Below are 21,507 nucleotides of genomic sequence, written 5' to 3' on the forward strand. Positions count from 1 at the left end.
CCTTCTTTCATTTCACTTGCCAGGAGCTGTTATATAATCAGGGCAGACTCTGAATGTAGCTGTTGGCCCTTCAAAAATTTAACATGAGAAATATACCAAATTACAATGAGAACTCCAGAGCTGATAGGAAGTTCTATCACATGCATGAAGAGGCATTTCACAGTAAATCAGAATATTTCAGCTCATGACCCTGAAAGGCTTGTTACCCTCACAAGCTCAGGCTTCGGTGCCAGATGCCTGCCGGAAGGTGCTGGCAGGAGCAGGCAGCAGCCCCTTGTCCAGAACTGCCTGCTTCTTTATTCCAGTCTGTTTTCATGTATTAACACATCTTGTTTAGAGCATAGCATTCTATAAACCTTCCCATTAGAAATATCATGTGACCGCAACTGACACCCCAGGGCCAGCCATATGCCCGGCTGTTTTGTTAGTTGATATCTGATAACAAGCTGTTAAGTCTCCATCTAGTGGCTAGACATCCCAAGAAGGGAAAACAAAATAAGTTTCTGACCACCTGGAGATTCTCAGTATGATTCTCAGGATGCACAGTGAGTGTTTAGTAGGTGCTTTTGGTGAAAACCAACATGAGAGCTGCCTGTCTGCACAATCCCTTACCTCTTTCATCTGAACTGAGTTTACCCATCCACTGGCTGGTGCACTAAAAAGTTCCACTTCACAGGTCTCAAGACCCGTAGGTTACTCTGGGGGCTTGCTCTGTCAGAACAGTTTTCCTTGCATTCAGTCTTCTTTTTCTTTTGTATTGAGGTCATTCTATTAATCCCAATCACAGCATTAGTTATATGGTCAAGGATTTACTAATTTTTGCTATGCTTCCCTTAGTTGCTGATGGGACTTACTAAGAATTCTCAGCCCAGAAAACAGTTTCCTAGGCTGTGCTATTAAGTCACTTCCAGTTCTCTAAACTGTTACCCATGATATCCAGTGTTAAATCTACATGGCACTGGAATCTGGAAAACAATGCAATTTGAATGCTCTGCACGTCCTTAGTTAAATACAGTCCTGCAGTCTGTAACCTGGGATGTAGCACAGACTTCAGACTCAACCCCAAAAGACAGTCGTCAGTGAAACAGCTTCCAGCAAGGGACGCCATTTTATGATGTCACATGAAAAGATGGCATGCTTGTTTGGTAGGTCTGGGTGATCAGGAGGCATTGGGAAGCTGTGGAAAAATCTCTGGAGTTCTGCTCCAGGCAGCCATAACATGGGGATGTGCACAACGATCTGCAGCCATACAAAAGTAGGAGTCCACTTTTCTGTCCTCCCTGGGATGTAACACGGCCCTCCAACATCTAATCCTTTGTCTTCTGCAGTGACACCAGTGTAACACTCCTCAATGGAAGTTGGGTACATGGAAGAAGTAGGCTTCATGAACCCCAATGAAAAGGATATCAGATGATCTTTCATTTTACCTTCATTACTGTAAGACTACTTTCTAGGACCCTGGACCCAAAAGCCCTCAACTGGATTTTCACCATGCCTACTGGAAGATGCTGGCAGGAGCAGTCAGCAGTCCCTTGCCTAAAACTGCCTGCTTCTTTATTCTAGTCTGTTTTCATATATTAACACATCTTGTTGAGGGAGTATAACATTCCATATACCCTCCCATTAGAAATGCCATGTGAATGCAACTGATACACCCAGGGCCAGCAAGGGGACCCAATTTTTTGATGTTCAGTTGGCTCACTTTCCCTTTCTTGATTAATTGCCCCCAATCCTAGAATACTATATTATACTTCTGGGCTCCAAATCGGCCCCCAAACCATAGCATTCTACTTCCTCTTCCTATAGAGATGGACAGGACAGCTAGGGTATCAACATTCTAGTAAGAGCTGACTAGAAACTGTTCCACATAATAAGAGCTCTCCATGCCAGCCATTGACTTTGGCATGTTACTGACATTATCCCTAACTTTGCTATATCTCTGCAAGGTAGGTGCTGCAGTTTCCAAGTTATAGACCAAAAGAAGGTTACTTCACTTTTTAAAGCTCTTACAGCCTGTAAATTAGAGAGCTGGGCTTCAAATCCAGCCCTATGTGACCCAAAGCCCAGCCCATGGTCTTCTTATCATAACCCACTGTCTCTTCTTCTCAGTTTCCAACAACCAAAATCTGTTTAGCTTTCAGCTTGAATAATTCAAGTAGACTTTCCTCTACTTGGGCACATTTCTCTAGGATATGGAAGAAATAGAACTAAGAAACAAACTAAAAATTATAATCTATCATTTATTTATTTAGCTGATTTGTTCAGAACTTTTTCTTTTTTGTGTGTATGTAAAACCTTCCTATTTTTAAGGGGACACCCTGACACCTTCATGTCATTGTGATTTCTGCTTATTTAACGAGTGTCAACAATATGTTCACTCTGGAACTAACTGCAATGTCCACTAGGGGTCTCTATTCTGAAGCAGGTGTATACATATTTCCAGCACACACACCCATCTCACATCATACACTCATGCACGTGCACACACGGATTCTTCTTTGTTATAAGGTTTAGTTGTTTGAGTTATGTCCAAATGACCTTTTTCTAATTTGACCCACTTGCTGTGCCAATCATTGTATAGGGCTTTAAACATAATGCTCTTCCTCTCAAATCTTGCTTTACAAAGTTGAAATAACACTAGTTCTGAACTCCTGGAAGCATTATTAAAAATAAAAAGCAGGCTATTTCTAAATAGTTTTGCGTCTGTCTGAAGTAAGATGAATTTAAAATATGAGATACTAATTTGTAATGTAACTCTATTATAAAAATATTACTTATTATAGAAATATTTTTTAAGGTTAAAAAAGACTGCATTTTCATTTGGTCCTCAGGTCTAAAAGGCTCCCTGAAATTCCATGTATAATGAAAACAAATTTGACGATGACAAAGGAAGCTCTGCCTGTTCCTCTGTCTTCACCCGATTGAGGGGCCCACTCTACTTCAAGCCTTCAGCCTGCCCAAGGAAACCAGTTTCCCACTGTAACTGGAGACAGACCTCCAGGTAATCTGATGATACATACCAAGACTGACAGCAACTTCATCTAGGGAGATGGTAGTTTTCTCAGTTGACAAGGGATAACTTGGATAGCGAGCTAGAAACTTCTGGCACAGGAGTCCTAAACTTTTCTGTTTTCTGCTTGGCCTTTGCTTTTCAAATTCGTCCACAGCACTGTCCCCAACAACATCAAGCTACAGAGGGCAGATAGAAGGGAGGGGGAAGATGTCACAGTTAACATCCTAATGGAGAAATGGCAATGGCCAGTGTTGGCAAACTGGGGGGACATCTCAATCCATACCATCCTAGATTCTAGTTAAAATACATTTCCTAATCTAATTCCCTGAATGTTTTATCTATTGTCTTCTCTGGACTGATTTTTTTCTCCTTTATAATTTGAGGCTGAGTCTATTAGTCAAAAGTTTGACAAATGAAAAATGAGAGTCATTTACAGGTTGCTACAGTCTAGCTACTAGTGCGCTCGCTAGGCCTGTGGAATCAGCATCACCAAGAGCTTGTGAGATGTAGAAGCTCAGGCATCAGCTGTATCAGAATCTGCCTTTTCATAAGATTCTAGGTGATTTCTAATGACGTGGAAGTTTCAGACGCACTGGCCTGCATTCTGTCACCAAACTGTTTTATATTTTACAATCGACCAAAGGTTGATGAAAGTGAATGAAGGCAGTCCAATCATATTCTTCCTTATCCTTTTATTTGTAAATACATTAAACTAGCATCCTGTCTCCTCAACCCACATTTGAAAGGGGCTCCATTCAAGCCCCAAGAAAGTAAAAGGCTTTTCAACAAACAGATTCAAAAGAAAAGTGATATAATTATTTCTACAGATTCAGAAAAAGCATTTGATAAATTTAACAGTCATTCATGATTTTCAAAAACACCTTTAAAAAACTAGGAATAACATACCGGGGCCTGTCGTGGGGTGGGGGCAGGGGGGAGGGATAGCATTAGGAGATATACCTAATGTAAATGATGAGTTAATGGGTGCAGCACACCAACATGGGACATGTATACATATGTAACAAACCTGCACACTGTGCACATGTACCCTAGAACTTAAAGTATAATAAAAATACAATTAAAAAAACCTAGGAATAACAGAGAACTTCTTCAATGAAAGGTATTCATGAAAACACAACAGCAAACATCTATTTGTAAAACCTTGGACGTGTTCCCTTAAAGTCAGGAAACAATATGGATGCCCATTATCACTTTCTCTTCTATCTCATATTGAAGACTCTAGTCAATGCATGAGGACACGAAAAAGAAACTGAGGCACAGGGACTGGAAAGTAATCAGCTACTTTCCTTCTGCAGAAGATGTCACTATTCATACAAAAAAACTCAAAAGAATTTCAGACAAATCATTAAAAATAGTTTTAGAATTTAGCAAGGTAGTTGAATACAAGATAATATGTTTTTTAAAGTCTGCTGCATTCCTGTACAACAGTAACAGCAAATAAATTGAAAAGACATCATTTACGAAAGCAACAAAAATGATAAGGATTTTAGAAATAAATCTAGCAAAAATCTATTTGCATAAAATCCTAAAACTTAGATTTTAAAGAATACTTAAAATTTAGTGAAATATATTGTCTTCATAGATAAGAAAACTCAGTATCTTAAAGAGGTTAATTTTTAATCTCTAGATTAAATGCAATCTCAATAAAATCCAATCTAAAATACACATGGAAGAACAAACAGCCCAGAGTAGCCCACACACTGAAGAAAAATAAGTTGAGGGTCCCATTTTACCTGATATCAGTGCTTATTACAATAGGGTATTAGGGCAGGGATGGACAATGGAACAGGAGGAGTTCAGAAACAGACACACATGTAAATGGAATTTTAATATGAAAGCAGTTGCACTGCCAGCTAGGGGGAAGAGAAAGACCTCCTGAATAAATGGTGCAGGGACAACTGATGATATGTATAGAAAAGCAAAGTTGTATCTTGACTCATACCATACACAAAAAGCAATTCCAAATGGATCAAGGATTTCATGTAAAGCAAATTTTAAATGAAGAAAATGAAGGAGAATATTTTTCTAACCTTGGAATAGGGAAGAGCTTCTTCAGACACAAAAAACATTACCCTTAAAAGGAAAAAATGAACTATATTAAACTTAAGAACTTTTGTCCATCAAGAAATAACATAAAGGGAAAAGACAATTACCGAACTGAAAGAATAGATACATAACATATATAATAAAGGTTTAGTATCATTATATAATCAACCCCTACAAATCAACATGACAAAAAAAAACCAATTAAAATTGGCAAAGAACACAAACAGGCATTTCACAGAGGAGCAAAAAACATGGTGGCCAGTAAACATGTGGAAAGAAGCTTAATCTCATGAGTAATCAAAGAAAAGCAAATGTATATCACAAAAAGATACATACTGTATAGACATGAGATTAGCAGAAATTACTAAATTTGACAATTTCAAGTGTCAGAGAGGATATGGGTGACTAAAAGTTTATATATTTCTGGGGGGAGGCAAATAGTACTTTGGAAAGCAATTTGGCATTATCTTGTGAACATCTGTATATCTAATGACGTAGCACCTATACTAGTAGGTATGTACCCAAAACAGTAGTTCTCAAACTTTTTGCTCCAAGGACCCCTTTATGTTCTTAAAAACTACTGAGGACTCCACAGGGCTTTTTGTTTATGTGGGTTATCTATTGATAGTTAGCATGTTAGAAATTAAAATTGAGGCAGTTAAAATGTTTTGTGAGAAAGGGGCATTTTATATATTATTTTTCAAATCTCTTTAGTTTCTGGATTAATAGAAGAGAACTGATTCTTGTGCTTGCCTTTTGTAGTCAGTCTGTTGCAATATCCACATTGTGTACTTCCTGGAAGACTCCAGTGTACACTTGGGAGAGAATGGGAGTTCAAATGGCAAAGGTCTTTGTATAATTATGAAAAACAGTTTTGACCTCCTGACTCTCTGAAAGACTGTCTGTGGACACTGAGGTCCCCAGATGACCTTTTGAGAACCACTGCCCAAGGCAAACTTGTATATGTACACCAGCAGACATAAACAAGAACGAATATCATAGCATAGTCTGTATTAGCCCTAAACTGCAAACAACCCAAATGGCTATAAACAGGAGAATGAATAAATTGTGGTGTAGTCATGCAATGGAATATCATACAGCCATGAAAGAACTACAGCTACATGCGAAAACACAAATGAACCTAAAGGATGTATGTTGATTGACAAAAGCAAGTCCTCTAAGACTATAAATACAAATTCAGAAGAATGGTTATTCTGTTGGGGAGAGAAATGTAAATTAATTACATCGCATCCATTTTTGGGCTGAGAGGTAGATTCATGGTGTTAAAGGTACTGCAAAGGATAAGTGTATTTTACATGATCAAATAGTCTATCAAAAGGTAATAAAGACTAGTTTTAAAAAGGTATAAAAAAGTCTGTTTTAACACTGAGTACCCCAAGACAGTAAGAAGGGAACAATAGACACCAGGGCCTACTTGAGGGTAGAGGGTGAGAGGAGGGTGAGAATTGAAAAACTACCTATTGGGTATTATGCTGATTACCTGGGTGACCAAATTATCTGTACACCAAACACTCGCAAAATGCAACTTACCCATGTAACAAACCTGCACATGTACCCACTGAACTTAAAAGTTAGAAAGAAAAAAAAAAACTACTTAAAACACTTGACTTTGATCTAATAAATCAGACATTAAAAGCATCAGTATAGTAAGTTTTCTGGATACAAGATCAATACACACACACAAAAAAATCAATTGTATTTGTATATACTAGAAACAAACTATGGGAAATTGAAACTAAAAAAAAAATACAATTTGCAATAGCATCAAAAAATTTGGAAACCTAGAGATAAATCTGACAAAAGATGTATAACACCTGTATACCAAAAATTGTGAAACACTGCTGAAAGATATTAAAGCCCTAGATTTTAAAAGAAAGTCTGTTTTAAATCCACCGAAATTTTAGGCATTTACTTCCTACAGGTGGTGAACCTTTCTAGTGACTGATCGCTAAAATCTCTCTATAAAGCCTGGGTAGAAAACCAAAATTTTAATTGTTTTAGGGGCGTGTTAAACAACTAGTTCTGCCAAAGTAAGAGATCAACAATGTTACCTTGCGAAAGAGGTCACTAACGATTCCCATTGGCTGATTTTCACTTTGCTATATTTTTGTCAAAAAAATTACAAAAAATCTAATACTTACATGCCTTTGACAACAAAAGGCACATTTAATCTTATTTAGTTTTTAGAACCCCAATAAAACCAGGACAGGTACCACGACCCTCATTTTACAGGTGAGTAAATTGAGATGCAGAGATCCTGAGTGATATCCCCAACTCACCCAGCTAGTGATTTGAACCTAAGGCCTTAGACCAGCTCCTTGTGTGATCCACATCAAACATAAGACGGAAAGGAAGCCAAAGAACAGCCCAGACTTAAAAAAAGGAATTGTGAAATTCCTCTGGCTTCAAGCACATAGGAACTACTGTGTGATTTGTATTTAGTTACATGAAAGAATCTCTTACTACTACCGCTACTCTACCACTGCAAGATATATAACAGATTAAATTCATTCTGTTCTATGAATTTCAAGTTGTAATTCGAGACATCTTTTTTCTCTCTTCCCAATTTCTTCATTTTGGCAATTTTTATAGCTTGAAAAATCCGCCAAAAAGAGAAAAATGGTTAAGAATACTGAAATCTGCAAAACTTTTCTTAGGAAGTCTGAGAAAAAGCTTGATGGGAAGTGAAAATAATTACCTTTTTTTTTTTTTTTAACGAAGTATAGACATGCTGCTTATTCAACAGCACTGGTTCCCCACAGAACAGGTAATTTAAAGATGGCTTAACTTCAATAAAGCCCCAAACTAACCAACTGAACATATATAAGAATAATGGAATTTCCTAAATCAAAAATATTTACATTAACATTATCCCTAAAATCTGGGCAAAATTAAAATTCACAGCAGCATTTAAAGAATCCAAATTCCTTCATTAAATAAAAATGATTAAATATCATTACTTTAAAATAATTTATCATTTTTAAATGAGCCCTGGTCCAGGGAGTATCATACAGAAAAGAAAGCATTCATTATGAAAAATAAGATAGAATGAGAATTCTACTACAAATCAAAAGATATTCAGTTTGCCACTGCTTTTGGCTCAATAGGAGCTGAAAAGTTGACAGTTCTATGATTTTTTAATAATCAAGTAAAATTGTTTAAGTTCTAAAAAATCCCTGAGGAGCACAGTCTGTTTACCTGTAGAGAATCTGTAAATGCATCGTCCTTGTTTTCAATGGGTCGGAATAGTCCCTTTTTCTTCTCCCGGTCCCTTATATCTGGGCTGGCAGCACTAATGAGCATCTTCAGGTTAGCTGTGGGTGTCCATGGTTCCGCTTGCTGTCTGTCAACAAACTTAACTGGAGTAATGGGATTTCTTTCTGGAGTAAATTTTTTTTGCTTCGATAAATCAATTGGTTCATTTTTTATTGGAGTCTTCGGGGCCATCCTTGATCGATCAACAAATATATTTTCCTATTTTAAAAAAGAAACTTTTAGCAAGAATGAGAAAGGGCAGGTATCAGCTAAGAGTATACTTTGTTCCCACCATTCACTAAGACTTGAAAATACAAATAGGACCATATGTTTAGGGCTGAAAAGTATCAGGATAGGACTAACGAAAAGTAGTCATGGGAATAGAAGAGTGGCTCCAATGAGAAGTAGATTATACTCTGCTACTCCTTTTACACCTATCTTTCATGGTATCTCTGTAAAAGAAATCACAACGTATCTGTTACTGTTGCATGTTTATAACAGATGAGGACTATGAGGGCCAATGTGGGTTGAGTCCATATTGTTTCTAAGTGTCACCTTTTTTAAAACACTACTTACAAGTTTGCATTGACTAGTGAAGAGCAACAATGCTTCTGTAGTTCAATGTGCACCAGTGCTAATACAGCACTTAGTAGCAGGACCAGTTAATGGAAGAGCATCCAACAAAATCCCACATTTTAAGCCAACCTAGAGAGCTCTCTAACGTCATTCTCCAGAGCAGTGCATCTCAAACTACCCATGGTAAAGGACTCGTTTTTTTAGATTTCCAAACTCCTGCAAACTGATATGTGACCTTACTTCACAGGACTAATGTGCAACACAACTCCCACCAGATGTGATTTGCCATTTGAGTTTGTCACTCAAACTGACCCACAGCTTCTTCAACAAGAAGAGACCACTAATCATAAGCTTAGATATGGTGGCAATACTGAATTGCTACTGAGGTTTATTTTTCTTACTTTTTTTTTTTTTTTAAAAGATAGGGTCTCACTCTGTTGCCCAGCCTGAGTACAGTGGTGTGATCATAATTCACTATAGCCTCAAACTCCTGGGCACGTGCAATCTTCTCGCCTTAGCCTCCCAAGTAGCTGGGACCACAGACATGCACCACTACACCCAAATACTTATATTTTATTTTTTGGAGATAGGGTCTCACTCTGTAACCCAGGCTGGAGGGCAGTGGCATGATCACAGCTAACTGCAGCCTCAAACTCCTGGGTTCAAGTGATCTTCCCACCTCAGCCTCCCAAAGTGCTGGGATTTCCAGTGGTGTGCATACTACAGTGGTGTGCACACCACTGCACCCAGCTAATTTTTAAAATTTTGTGTGGAGACGGGGTCTTGCCATGTTGCCCAGGCTGGTCTTGAACTTCTGGCTTCAAGTGATTCTCCTGCCTCAGCCTCCCAAAGTGCTAGAATTACAGGCATGAGACACCAGGCCTGGCCTTTTTTAATTTTTTGTAGAGATCGGGGTCTCACTATGTTACCAAGGTTCATCTCAAACTCCTGGCTTCAAGTAATCATCCCATCTTGGCCTCTCAAAGTGCTAGGATTACAGGCATGAGCCACCACATCTAGACTACTGAGGTTTTTAAGTGCTTAACTCTCAAGTTCCGTTCTTAATTTTTTGCACCCTGGTGATAGTTTGTGGAATACCATCTGCCTCCAGACCACCCGTTGATGTAGACTGTCTTAAATAATTCTAAGAAAAGACTAACGATGGGCCCATTGTAAAAAAGGACTAAGTATATAGAATCCACCTTTGGAACTAACAAGTAATTAAAACGTATCTTTCCCCTAAAAAAGTTTCAAAAATTCAATATGAGAATTCGATAATTCAATATTCAAAAACAGAAAGATTCTGCTCTTTCTGTAGTATTCCTTTCCAGTCAATAGTGTGTCATATAATTACAAAGGTAGATGAGTTCTCAGTCACTCCTTCCCTGTACATTCTGTATAGCTACTGAATGCTTGGGTTTTGGTTGAGCAGGGGGTTACAGTAAGTGTTTTCCTATAAATGAGCAACGTGTGAAGAGGTAAAATATTGGGAGAAACTGGAGTTTGTGTAGGCAAGGCAACTCTTGCTCCTTGGATCAGCAGAAGCTGCATGCTAGCCATGGCAACATTCGGTCCTAGTATAAGAGGAAGGAGAGGAGTCAGTGGAAGTGGCGATTTCTCATACTACAGTAAGTACTCGGCCCAGAATGCTGCATCTACCCACCTCTTTTAACAAGTCCCTGTTAGTGTGCTATTCTGATAAAGGCTTCTACAGGTGAACTCTCAAGGGAAATTACTGATTACTATGTGCCACGCTCTGTTTCATGTATTTTGCATGTATTGACTCCTCATCCAATCCTGTGACATAGGCACTAATATTTTTCCGTTGTATAGATGAAGAAACTGAGGCACAGAGAAGTCAAATAACTTGGCTGAGGTCACCTATGACCTCATTCAGTGTAAAATCATCGGTATGCAAGAAACAGCTGAAGGCAGAACTTTCTGAAATTCTACACTTAAAAATGAGCCTGTGTCCTGGGCACAAACTGGGAGGAAGTTATCTTTTCCACAGCTCCAACCAAAGGTACCCAGCAGGCCACTGATCCCCACTAGTACCTAGCGAGAGGCAGCATGGGGAAATAGTTATATACACAGGATGTAGGGCCAGTTAACCTACCCCTGCTGCTTATCAGCAGGGGTGAGTGTGGCAAGTTCCTGTACCTCACTATACTTTATTTCTCTCAACCGAAAATGAAGTTCATAAAAATACCAATCTCAAGGGTTATGAGATTAGTTCCTGGCATATAGTGAGCGCTCGATAAAACTTAGCTATTATCTTTTCCCTCTTTTCTATTCTTTATTACCATTCACTCTGGCATTTCGAGCTAAATATACTACAGCACATCATATTGCTATTTAACTTCCAGGATGTGTGTCTTGTCTCAGTAACAAGACTGTGCCCTTGAAAAGGTCAAGAAGCAAGTTCCACATGTCTTGTTCATCGCAATTTTTGGCACAATGCGTTGCCCACTGCAGATACTCAAAGAACACTGTGCTTTGATGAGTTATTCCAAAAGGTATCCTCATGGTGGAGGGTGTGGTCCAGGCATGCTGGGTGGACAGAGATTTACATGCCTTCTCCATTGCTTCCAAAAGAGTTACTTTAGCGAGGGAGCAACTGAGAATGGATTATTTCTTCATATATTTTGATATATTTTCACTGTAGTTTACTGAATACTTAAAGTAGGAGGGGAGCTAGGTCATGTGGTAGGTTATGATTGTATTACACCTCTACATCAAGAAAAAAAAATGCCAACCCAATTGTTTTCTAAGGTGTCAGGTGGACAGAAAGTCAACTGCAATCTAGTCACACCTTGCTCCATCTGTCTGTCCTGCTATGCTGACAGCATATACGGCTGTGGAAAGGGCACTGCAATGGAAACCTGATTTGTGTCCCAGCTGTTTGTATCTTTTTGATCCTGGATAACTGTTCATTCTGTCTGGGCCCAGATTTCCGTAGGTATAAAATGAGGAATTTAGATGAAAGTATCTATCTCCAAGGTTTTCTAGCAAGGCTGCTTAGCTGTGGAGTGGATGCTGGGATGTACCCTGATCTCTTCAGACATGACTCATTCCCCAGCTGCTAGAAGTAATGCCAACAGTCATCCCATAACTGGACTGCTTTGGCTGAAGACAGCTGACTTGTCCAAGATCACACCACTTCCTGGGAAGCCTCTCCTGTACTCATTGGCTGGTAGAAGTAGCACAGACATATAAAAGCCAGGACTCTGGGAGGCCAAGGCAGGCGGATCACGAGGTCAGGAGATCGAGACCATCCTGGCTAACACGGTGAAACTTTGTCTCTACTGAAAATACAAAAACAAAAATTAGCTGGGCGTGGTGGCGGGCGCCTGTAGTCCCAGCTACTCTGGAGGCTGAGGCAGGAGAATAGCGTGAACCCAGGAGGCAGAGCTTGCAGTGAGCTGAGATCATGCCATTGCACTCCAGCCTGGGTGACAGCGAGATTCTGTCTCAAAAAAAAAAAAAAAAAAAAAAGCCAGGCCTCCTTGCCCCAACTCTGGACTCCTCTGATGGCTGCCCTAGAACTCCCCAGAGGGTCATTTCCACTGTGACTGTATTGCAGCTCCACTTTTCCTTCTGTCCAATTCCATGCCTTCCTGTCCCTTCCCTAGGCATTGATCCCAAGAGTACTTCCTAAAAACCTCCTGCACACTTAACCTCTGGGTAAGATCTGCTTCAGGAAATCTAACCTGCAACACCCTGGAAATCACTCCCTCCATTAGAGTGTCCTGTGAAACGGCCCTCTAGTTCTTATATATAAATAGAGGTAATATACCTTGGCTTACCTACCATAGAGTTGCTGTGATAATGAGCTCAGAAGGTAAAAGCACTCTGTCATCTGTGAAGTGCTATACAAATGTTCATTATTATTACTAATAACACCAGCACACTGACTATAGGTAAACTAGTTCATGCTGCCAAAGAAAGGTCTTCGTTGTCTTGGTTCTAGTCCTGCTCCTGTGTCCGATACAGCTTTGATCATGTTATCTCAAACAATATACACAGTCAAGTGTATATATTAGCTCTGGGCCATATTTAGCCAACTTCTTTTTCAGTTCCCTCTCATGCACATCCCACATTCTGCCCAAACAGTCCCCCTGCTACTCAAACCTGCCCTGCACTTTGTCACAGCTAAGCTGGTGCTCACACCACCACTTCCTCTTTAATGCCACTGGCTTTGCCTGTTGAAATTCTGTCTACTATTTAAGTCTCATTGCAATGACTACATGTTAGAAAGTGTCTCCTTCTAGCTATGGACCAACAACTCTCCTTCTTTCCAGAGCACACTTTCTAGAAGCAATCCACACTGAGGGTTTCCCCTGCCTACCTCCTAGGGGTCCCTCAAACTACCAGTCTGTTCTGATCCACTGCTCTTACTTAGGTCACCTCTCAGTTGCCAGATCAAGTCAATGGCAAAATATCTTACTTGACCTCACTGCAGCAGTTAAGACTGTTGACTATTCTTTGTTCTATAGAACTCTCAGCCCTTAACTTGTGAGATACCACTGTTTCTTTCTCTCCTGGTTCTTCTCATACTTCTGATTGTGCCTTCTCAGCCTCCTTCTATTTTCACTCTTACAAACCAAACCGCAAGAGTGCACACACAACCCTCTGCCGCTCTCTCATTATTTGCCACTCCCACGTATAAAGCTTTAAAATCAACCTGTATGCTGACAATTCCTGTTCGGACCTGATTACGACCTTTCATGAATTCCAAAATCAGGCTACCTGCTGCTTTCTGCACATATTTATTTACCTATAAACCACACAGGTACAAACATATTCCAAACTGAACTCACCTTCATTCTCACCCACTCCCAAGAGACATGAATGACATTCAAAGAACACCCATGCCCATTAAGTTTGGGCATTGTCCCCAAATATGCCATGCTCATTTCTACTTCTTCACTAACTCCCCTCCTCTCTACTTGCCTGAGACTCAGTATTCCTTCCTTCCAGCCACAGCTCAAGTGCTAGCTCCTTCACAAAGCTCTCCTAGCCTCTTTGGCCCAGACTGTTTTCCACTTTTGTTGTGTCAAGTGCATTGTAAACAGGTAAGAGGCATAGTAACTTCGGGTAATGAAGTTGGAAACTCCTTTATGTTTTAAAGAAAAGTTTCTCCATGACTGGTAAGAAGATGCATACATAATACAGTACTTACAGACCTTGACCAACGGGCAAATGGCCAAGAAAGAAATCCTCTAAATGACCGCTGATCCAGCAAGACACCACTCCAGGTATTCCCCGGAGAGATTCCAAGAAGGATCAACTCAGCACCACTAGCTTCCAGCCACTCTTGATTTCTTGAACATTTTTTTGAATGCTCACACCTCATGCTGTTACTTCTGCCTAAAATGTCCATCTCGTTCACTCTTGCTTTCTTGTAGGTTGAGCTTCCTCATCCACTAAGGCTTAGCCCAAATGTTCCTTCCTCTGTGAAGCTTTTTAACTCCCTCTGAACTTCCCATGAATTTATTTCCTCCTCTTCTTTCTGCCCAGGTAATTTGTTCCTACTCCTAGTATAGCACTCACCAAATCACAGTATAGTTTTACATCTGGGCCCCTGAAAGTCTCCCTGGTAACTGAGGGCAGGGTGGACAACATGTTCATCTTTAGGCTATCAGTCTGATTCAAAACAGTGTGAAGACTATGTGCCTATGGGTGCTTTACAAAAACTCAATGTGGGGAGTATTATATATTGATTCCAATTTATGGAAGAAAAAAATGGATTTAGGGAGATTAGGAAACTCATTAAATCACCGTATCCCCAGCATCTGGAACAAAAATATTTGTTGAAAGACTTTCTAAGTATATTTGTTTTAGGTCACATAGCTAATAAATGGCAAAGTAGGAAATCAAACCCAGGACCTCTTGGCTCTTAAACCCCATGTTTTCATTATCCCTAGAAAGCATCCTTCCTTTACTTCATAGCAGCATGAAAAAGACAGACAGAAGCCCCTCCTAGTAACTCTGTGGAAGCACCCTGTTCTCATCTCTTGCCTTCTATTTGAGTTGACATAATCCCTGCTCATAAATGCTATTTCAAACATTGTCACTGCTTTCCCAATCTCTTTAAGTCACTTGAGTTTTTTTTCCCCACACACATTAGAATGTGAAAGCTCAACTGGACACAGTAGCACTTGCTGATGCTAGAGGAGAAGGGTCTTTGTTGAAGGTACTTGATAAAAGTCATTGACCCAGAGGAAGAGAAGTAAAGCACTGACTTAGACGTTATATAAATGTATGGATGTGTATTTTTTCAAGGCTGAACCATCCAAATTGGAAAGGAAAACAAAGTTTTGCTCTAAAACTCTCAAAGCCAAAACTCTGAATATATACTTTAAGTCTGGGCATTTCCACCCTCATGACTTAGATAATTAAAAAAAAAAAAAAAAGGCCACTTTAAATAATCTTCACTTTATCTGTGGTTTCACTTTCAGTGGCCAACTGCGGTCCAAAAATATCACATGGAAAATTCCAGAAATAAACAATTCATGAGTTTTAGATTGTGTGCAGTTCTGTGTAATGAAATCTCACGTCATCCTGCTCCGTCCTGCTTCGGATGTGACTCACCCCTTTGTCCAGCGTATTTGCACGGTAGATACTACCTGCTCGAGCAGCCACTGTGTTTTCAGGCTGGCTGTCACGGTATTGCAGTGCTCATGTTCGAGTAACTCTTATTTGACTTCATAATGGCTCCAAAGCACAAGAGTAGTGATGCTGGCAATTTGGATATGCCAAAGGGAAGCCATAAAGTGCTTCTTTTAAGTGAAAAGGTGAACGTTCTTGACTTAAGGAAAGAAAATCGTACGCCAAGGTTGCTAAGATCTACTGTAAGAATTAGTCTCCTATCTGTGAAATTGTAAAGAATGAAAGAGAAATTCATGCTAGTTTTGCTGTCATACCCCAAACTGCAAAAGTTATAGCCATGGTACATAAGTACTTAGTTAAGATGGAAAAGGCACTAAATTTGGGGGTGGAAAACATAAACAGAATAAACAGAAATGTGTTCCAACTAATGGCAATCTGGTTCACTATTATCCACAGTTTCAGGTACTCACTGCAGGTCTTGGAACACATTCCCTGTGGATAAGGGGAACTACTGTATTTCTTTACCTAATAAAAATAAATCAAAATGCCGGACAAAAAAAAAATCCCTAGATGGGGGAGCATACAATTTCGCATCTATCCTAAATTAGCAATTATCAAGTATTCTTCAAAGGCTCATATGAGCCTGGGTTGCTTTGCAACCAAGGAGTTTCACTGTTGATGCTAAGCCTAAAAATAAGACCAGGAGCTCGGAGAAGTTCAATGCCCAAGTTGCTACTCACAGATTTATATTCAAAGTTTCTAAAACTTGGTTTGTTATTTCTATTTGCCTGTGCCTAAAAATGCTCAGATAGTTTAGACATTGTTATGGCCAGTTTACTTTGTAATGTTCTTGAAAACAACATCTTGGTCTTACAAATCACAAGGGGTGCAAAATGTAAGGGAATGGCTCAGTGCAAAACTAGCAACAGTATGGTAAAATATTCAGAATATACTGATGAGTTCAGCCACTTTATCTCCCTATATAGTAGGCACAGGTCTACTCTTGGGTGAATGGAACAGTCTCTGGGAGCTAGTTCATTGGTATGAAGACATTTCACAGCACTTTAATAATCCAGCATTTATGCCTGCAAAGGTCTATTTTCCTGGGAACTGAGGCTTAGCATTCCTACAGAGCACTAGCTACACCACCCTTGACAACTGTATTATAAACTTTGATTGCTGTAGCCAGCATATTTTTGACTTATATAAATTGGTTACAACATTACATGTAACCTTGCCTATTTTTCCCACTATATCTGAGAGTAGAATTCCAACAATAATGGTTTGGATGGCTCTATTTTTAAAAAAGAATGTTTCTATAATGTTTATCAATATTAATTATTATGCTTAAATACAAATACAAATGGCATGTTGGAACACTTAATTGAATTCAACATCACCATCCTTAACATATTAGAAACTAAGGTGTTTATGTTTGCTTACCTTTTGTGCATTTTCCCCATCTTCAACTGCAAAATCTAGTCTGGGCTGCCTGGGGCTGATCAGGTCTTTTAGTGTTAAACAATTTACCTCCATCTGTAATGCACAATTACACTAGAAAATGATTTTGCAATTAGGTATTTTTTCCTCAAACAAAAATATCTACATATGTGTTACTTGTTTGTCAATATGAAATTCCCCCTTCTCTAAGCACATCCTGGGCATTTCCAGGAGTTGTAGCCACCCTCAACTTTCTAAAACTCACGCGAACAAACTCAAACACCTAAAGTGTGCTTAGTAATACTGAAAATCTGGGAAGAAAAAAATCTACAAAAATAGTAACTCCTTATGAAAAGCTAGATGGCAAAATAAAGTTACCAAGTCGGAAGGGTGTTGGGCAAATCTGTCAGAAAAGTACAGGGTCTCCCAGGTCAGTTAATTTTGGCGCAAAGAACTGAGAGGAATTCGGCTTTGAGGGGTTTTGAATCGGGGGAAGGAAACCCGATCGCTAGACCAAACCCACTCAGCGCTGAGCGCAGCCCCTTCCCAGGCCTCCAAGCAGATCCCCCAAATAAACTTCTCCAATGAAAGCTCCAAGTTGTGGGGAAGGGCAAATCCCCTCTACTGCCGGGCCGGAGTGAGAGCTGCACCCGGCACACCCTCTGCGCACCGGGTTCCCCGGCAGAAACACCTCGAGCCCTCGCCAGCCGGGGGACGTGAGGAGTGGCAGGCTGGCAGCCGGGGCGGGAGTGGGCCCTGTATCCCAATTCCCGCCTCCCCACTGGCGCTGGGGCCGCACGCTTACCCCTGCTTTCCTAAGGAGGCTTCCTGCCTCTGCAGGGACCTCCACGGACCCAAGCCGATGAGGGAAGGTGGTGCGGCGATCAGCAGCCGGGCGGCGGCATCGGGAAGGGAGAGCGAGGCGCGCAGATCCCCGCGCCGAGTGCCCTGGGCTGGCGGGGACCCCGCGGCGTCCGGGCAGCGCCAGCGCTCAGACCGGCCGAGCGCAACTCCAGCCTGGATCGTAGTCCCCGCTAAAACACCTCCTCTGGCGCCTTGAGACCGAATTTGAGAATCCACCAATCAGCGGCGGCCGGCGGGGCGGCCCCGGCCAATCGTGCGGCGGCACGGCCCGGGCTCACCGCCCCTCGGAGTCTTGGCGCTCCGAGCCGCGCGTTTTGCCCTCACCCGCCCAATTGTTGCCGCCTCGGCCCCCTCCCCCTTCCGGGTACCTGGAAACCTCGGGCCCGGGAGCCAATTCCTGCTGGGGACGCGGGCCCCGGCGGCCGCGGGAAGCCAAGGTGGGGGCGGCGCGGGGCGGCGCGGGGCGGCGGGAGAAGGAAGAGGAGGAGGAGGGCTCTTTTGTTATGCATAGAAGACCCGCGCACGTCCCCGCGGCTTGCCGCGCCCGGGGACCCCGGGCACAGCCAGAGGACAGGAAAGCAGATGGGGTTTGGAAGAACGATCTACACCCTCTGGATGCTGCTGCCGCCATCCCCGCCCGCCCTCAGCAACCTGTGCGGAAGCGGAGTTGTCCAGACTTGCCGGGGCAAACTTCTTAACATCGCACGCTGGTGTGACACATGAACCATGGTTACCGCTCTGCTGCGAGCAGATGGCACGCCAGTTAGCCCTGGAGACAAGACTGGAAGCCAAACCAGAAGTTTTTCTAACTTTTTTTTGTTTGTTTGTTTTGTGTGTGTGGCAAATCCGGAAATGTTTTTTGGTGTTCCCTTTTCGGCAAATTGCAAATAATTAGGAGGGAAAAAGCTTTATATAAAAAAGTAGTTCTTTGCAATAGGGACTAGCATTCTGGGAGACAGTCTAGAAAATTTCCTCAACACCACTGATCTGTATTAAATGTTTCACTTCTTTCATCCTACAGTTTCTTGTTTAAAATATGAATGTTGGTAGAGATGGACTTTTTACAAAACAGACTTTATTGTTTAGAAGTTTTCAATTTACAGAAAAATTGAGATAGTACCAAGAATTCCCATATATTCAGCACCCAATTTCACCCACTATTAACATTTTGTGTTAGTATAGAATATTTTTTGAAATTAATGATCTAATATTGGTACATTCTTCTGAGCTCAAGTCATTACTTTATTCAGATTTACTTAATTTTTTCCTAATGGCCCTTTTTTCTGTTCAGGATACCACATTACCTTTAGTTCCTATGTCTCTAGGCTCCTCTTGGCTATGACAGTTTCTCATACTTTCCTCATTTTTGATACCTGGACATTTTTGAGTAGTATTGGTCAAGTATTTTGTAAGATATCCCTCAACTGAAATGTGAGACAGCCTTCTTAAAGCATCAGACATTCTTAAATGTACAGACATGTCCCTACCCCCCATCTACTTTACAGCAAAGGTATCATTTTCCTTTCTATACCAAGACTCCATTCTTCACCACTTACCCTCCAAATATTTTTATTTTATTTTATTTTTGGAGACGGAGTCTTGCACTGTCACCCAGGCTAGAGTGTAGTGGCCCAATCTCGGCTCACTGAAACCTCCACCTCCTGGGTTCAAGCGATTCTCTGCCCCAGCCTCCCGAGTAGCTGGGACTACAGCCGTGCGCCACCACGCCCAGCTAATTTTTGTATTTTTAGTAGAGATGGGGTTTTGCTGTGTTGGCCAGGTTGGTCTCGAACTCCTAACCTCAGGTGATCTGCCTGCCTGCCTTGGCCTCCCAAAGTGCTGGGATTACAGGTGTGAGACACCGTGCCCGGCCTCAAATACATATATTTTAAATGAACTCTCAGCAGAATTCAGAATGCTCAATCAAGTCCTTCACTTCGTACTCTAGATTGCTGGTAAATACGGCCTAAAAAAAAAAAAATCACTGCTAGGTCATACATTGAAAAGAGAAAAGTATGCAAAACATTAAACAAAAGAAAATAGTAATAAAAATCTGACATTTTTTATAGGAATAACATTTTGAACTGAAATCTCTTTTGTAGGTAGAAACCTAATGAGAAGTTTAAACAATAAAAAATTGCAACTTATTAAATTTTGCACATATGTGGAAGCAGAAGTTTAGATAAGGAAATACTTTTCCCAACAGTATTCATTTTCTATGGCTGTTGTAACAAATTACAACTGGCTTATAAGGACAGAGATTTAGTCTCTCACAGTTCTGGAAAGTTAAGGTATTCCCAGGGCCACACTCCCTCTGGGGCTCTTGTCCTTTTCCTCTTCCAGTTTCTGGTGGCTGTTAACAGTCCTTGACACGTGGCAGCCTCACTCCAATTTCTACCTCCATAGTTACGTTGCTTTCTCTTTTGTCTGTTAAGTCTCTCCTGTGTGTCTCCTATGAGGACACCTGTCAATGAATTTAGGTCCCACCTGGATAGTCCAGGATGATCTCATCTTGAGATCTTCAATTTAATTGCATCTGGGAAGATCCTCTTTCCAGAGTAACATTCCTTCATGGGTTCTGGGGATTAGGACATGGATACACCTTTTTGGGGCCCACCATTCAGCCTTCTAGACCAACATTCAAATTATTAAAGTCCATTCATTTCTCTGATATTTCAAAATACTAATGATCGTTTCTTTGAGGTTAGACAGTTTCACGGTACAGGGCTTTTCCTAACATTTTTAGAGTAAAAGTACTTTTTCTATTTTGATACAAATGTAATTTCTATTCAAGTTACAAAAAAAACTCAGTTGGATACATCACTTCAGGCACTTATAATTTCATTGATTATAAGAGTTATCTTAGATTTGGAGGAAAACTGAAAAATAAATGTTTGATGGACAAATTCAGAGACATTATTCCAACACACTTATTTATATTGATGTTTTTAAGTCCCAGAATGCATACATAACCTGTTAATCTCTCGGTAATTCAGTTGACACTGATGTTGGCTGGGAACTAGGCTGGAGTATCAAGAAGAGTCTCGACATGTGACCTCTCCATATGGCCTGGTCTAGATATCCTGGTAGCTCAAGGTAGTTGGACTTCTTCCAGGGTGGCTCCTGGGATCCAAAATGAATGTGTCATGTAGCAAAGTGGAAATAGTATCACCTTTTGTGACGTAGCCTAAGAACTGATAGCATCAATTCCACTACAGTTTTTGGGAGGAAACAGTCAAAAATCCATCCACATTCAAGGGGAGAAGACATATACCTCACTCTCAATGGGAGAAGTGTCAAAGAATTTGGGGCCATATTTCTCTCTCTCTCTCTCTCTCTATATATATATATATATGTGTGTGTGTGTGTGTGTGTGTGTGTGTGTGTATATATATATATATATATATATATATAAAAATAAGTTCTGGGATACATGTGCAGAACATGCAGGTTTGTTACATAGGTATACACGTGCCATGGCATGGTGGTTTGCTGCACCCATCAACCGGTCATCTACATTAGCTATTTCTCCTAAAGCTACCCCTCCCCTTGCTACCCCTACCCCTCCCCTTGCCCCCTACCCCATGACAGGCCCTGGCATGTGATGTTCCCCTCCCTGTGTCCATGTGTTTTCATTGTTCAACTCCCATTCGTTAGTG

General features: G+C 40.8%; 1 protein-coding gene across 3 annotated transcripts in view, besides 8 other annotated features; it reads right to left on the minus strand.

Annotated features, from left to right (window-relative positions):
- Positions 1 to 18,014, minus strand: part of E2F7 (E2F transcription factor 7) — a 44,319-nt gene extending 26,305 nt beyond the window's left edge. For 2 of the 3 annotated variants that reach the window (XM_011537966.3, NM_203394.3), the window contains exons 1-4: positions 17,790 to 18,014; positions 16,988 to 17,080; positions 8,300 to 8,575; positions 3,021 to 3,189 (exon numbers count right to left, since the gene is read on the minus strand). In XM_011537966.3, coding sequence (XP_011536268.1) covers positions 3,021 to 3,189; positions 8,300 to 8,575; positions 16,988 to 17,080 — 538 coding nt within the window. In that variant the 5' untranslated portion in view covers positions 17,790 to 18,014. Of the gene's footprint in view, positions 1 to 3,020; positions 3,190 to 5,064; positions 5,108 to 8,299; positions 8,576 to 16,987; positions 17,081 to 17,789 lie in introns of those variants that run through there. The other variant, XM_011537969.3, reaches the window with a different exon arrangement.
- Positions 13,149 to 13,228: an enhancer, noted in NCBI's record as "active region_6681". NCBI's record gives its function as "activates an Ori minimal core promoter by ATAC-STARR-seq in GM12878 lymphoblastoid cells {active_cell/tissue: GM12878}" and the evidence as "EXISTENCE:reporter gene assay evidence [ECO:0000049][PMID:35858748]".
- Positions 15,323 to 15,382: an enhancer, noted in NCBI's record as "active region_6682". NCBI's record gives its function as "activates an Ori minimal core promoter by ATAC-STARR-seq in GM12878 lymphoblastoid cells {active_cell/tissue: GM12878}" and the evidence as "EXISTENCE:reporter gene assay evidence [ECO:0000049][PMID:35858748]".
- Positions 15,413 to 15,562: an enhancer, noted in NCBI's record as "active region_6683". NCBI's record gives its function as "activates an Ori minimal core promoter by ATAC-STARR-seq in GM12878 lymphoblastoid cells {active_cell/tissue: GM12878}" and the evidence as "EXISTENCE:reporter gene assay evidence [ECO:0000049][PMID:35858748]".
- Positions 17,854 to 17,903: a silencer, noted in NCBI's record as "silent region_4676". NCBI's record gives its function as "represses an Ori minimal core promoter by ATAC-STARR-seq in GM12878 lymphoblastoid cells {active_cell/tissue: GM12878}" and the evidence as "EXISTENCE:reporter gene assay evidence [ECO:0000049][PMID:35858748]".
- Positions 17,924 to 18,353: a silencer, noted in NCBI's record as "silent region_4677". NCBI's record gives its function as "represses an Ori minimal core promoter by ATAC-STARR-seq in GM12878 lymphoblastoid cells {active_cell/tissue: GM12878}" and the evidence as "EXISTENCE:reporter gene assay evidence [ECO:0000049][PMID:35858748]".
- Positions 17,924 to 18,668: a biological region, named in NCBI's record as "OCT4-H3K27ac hESC enhancer GRCh37_chr12:77459297-77460003".
- Positions 17,962 to 18,668: an enhancer, noted in NCBI's record as "OCT4-H3K27ac hESC enhancer chr12:77459297-77460003 (GRCh37/hg19 assembly coordinates)". NCBI's record gives its function as "activates a minimal SCP1, AML or CMV promoter by ChIP-STARR-seq in naive H9 embryonic stem cells {active_cell/tissue: H9 hESC(naive)}" and the evidence as "EXISTENCE:reporter gene assay evidence [ECO:0000049][PMID:30033119]".
- Positions 18,404 to 18,633: an enhancer, noted in NCBI's record as "active region_6684". NCBI's record gives its function as "activates an Ori minimal core promoter by ATAC-STARR-seq in GM12878 lymphoblastoid cells {active_cell/tissue: GM12878}" and the evidence as "EXISTENCE:reporter gene assay evidence [ECO:0000049][PMID:35858748]".

Source organism: Homo sapiens, chromosome 12 (genome assembly GCF_000001405.40).
Source record: "Homo sapiens chromosome 12, GRCh38.p14 Primary Assembly".
In the NCBI taxonomy this organism is placed as follows: domain Eukaryota; kingdom Metazoa; phylum Chordata; class Mammalia; order Primates; family Hominidae; genus Homo; species Homo sapiens.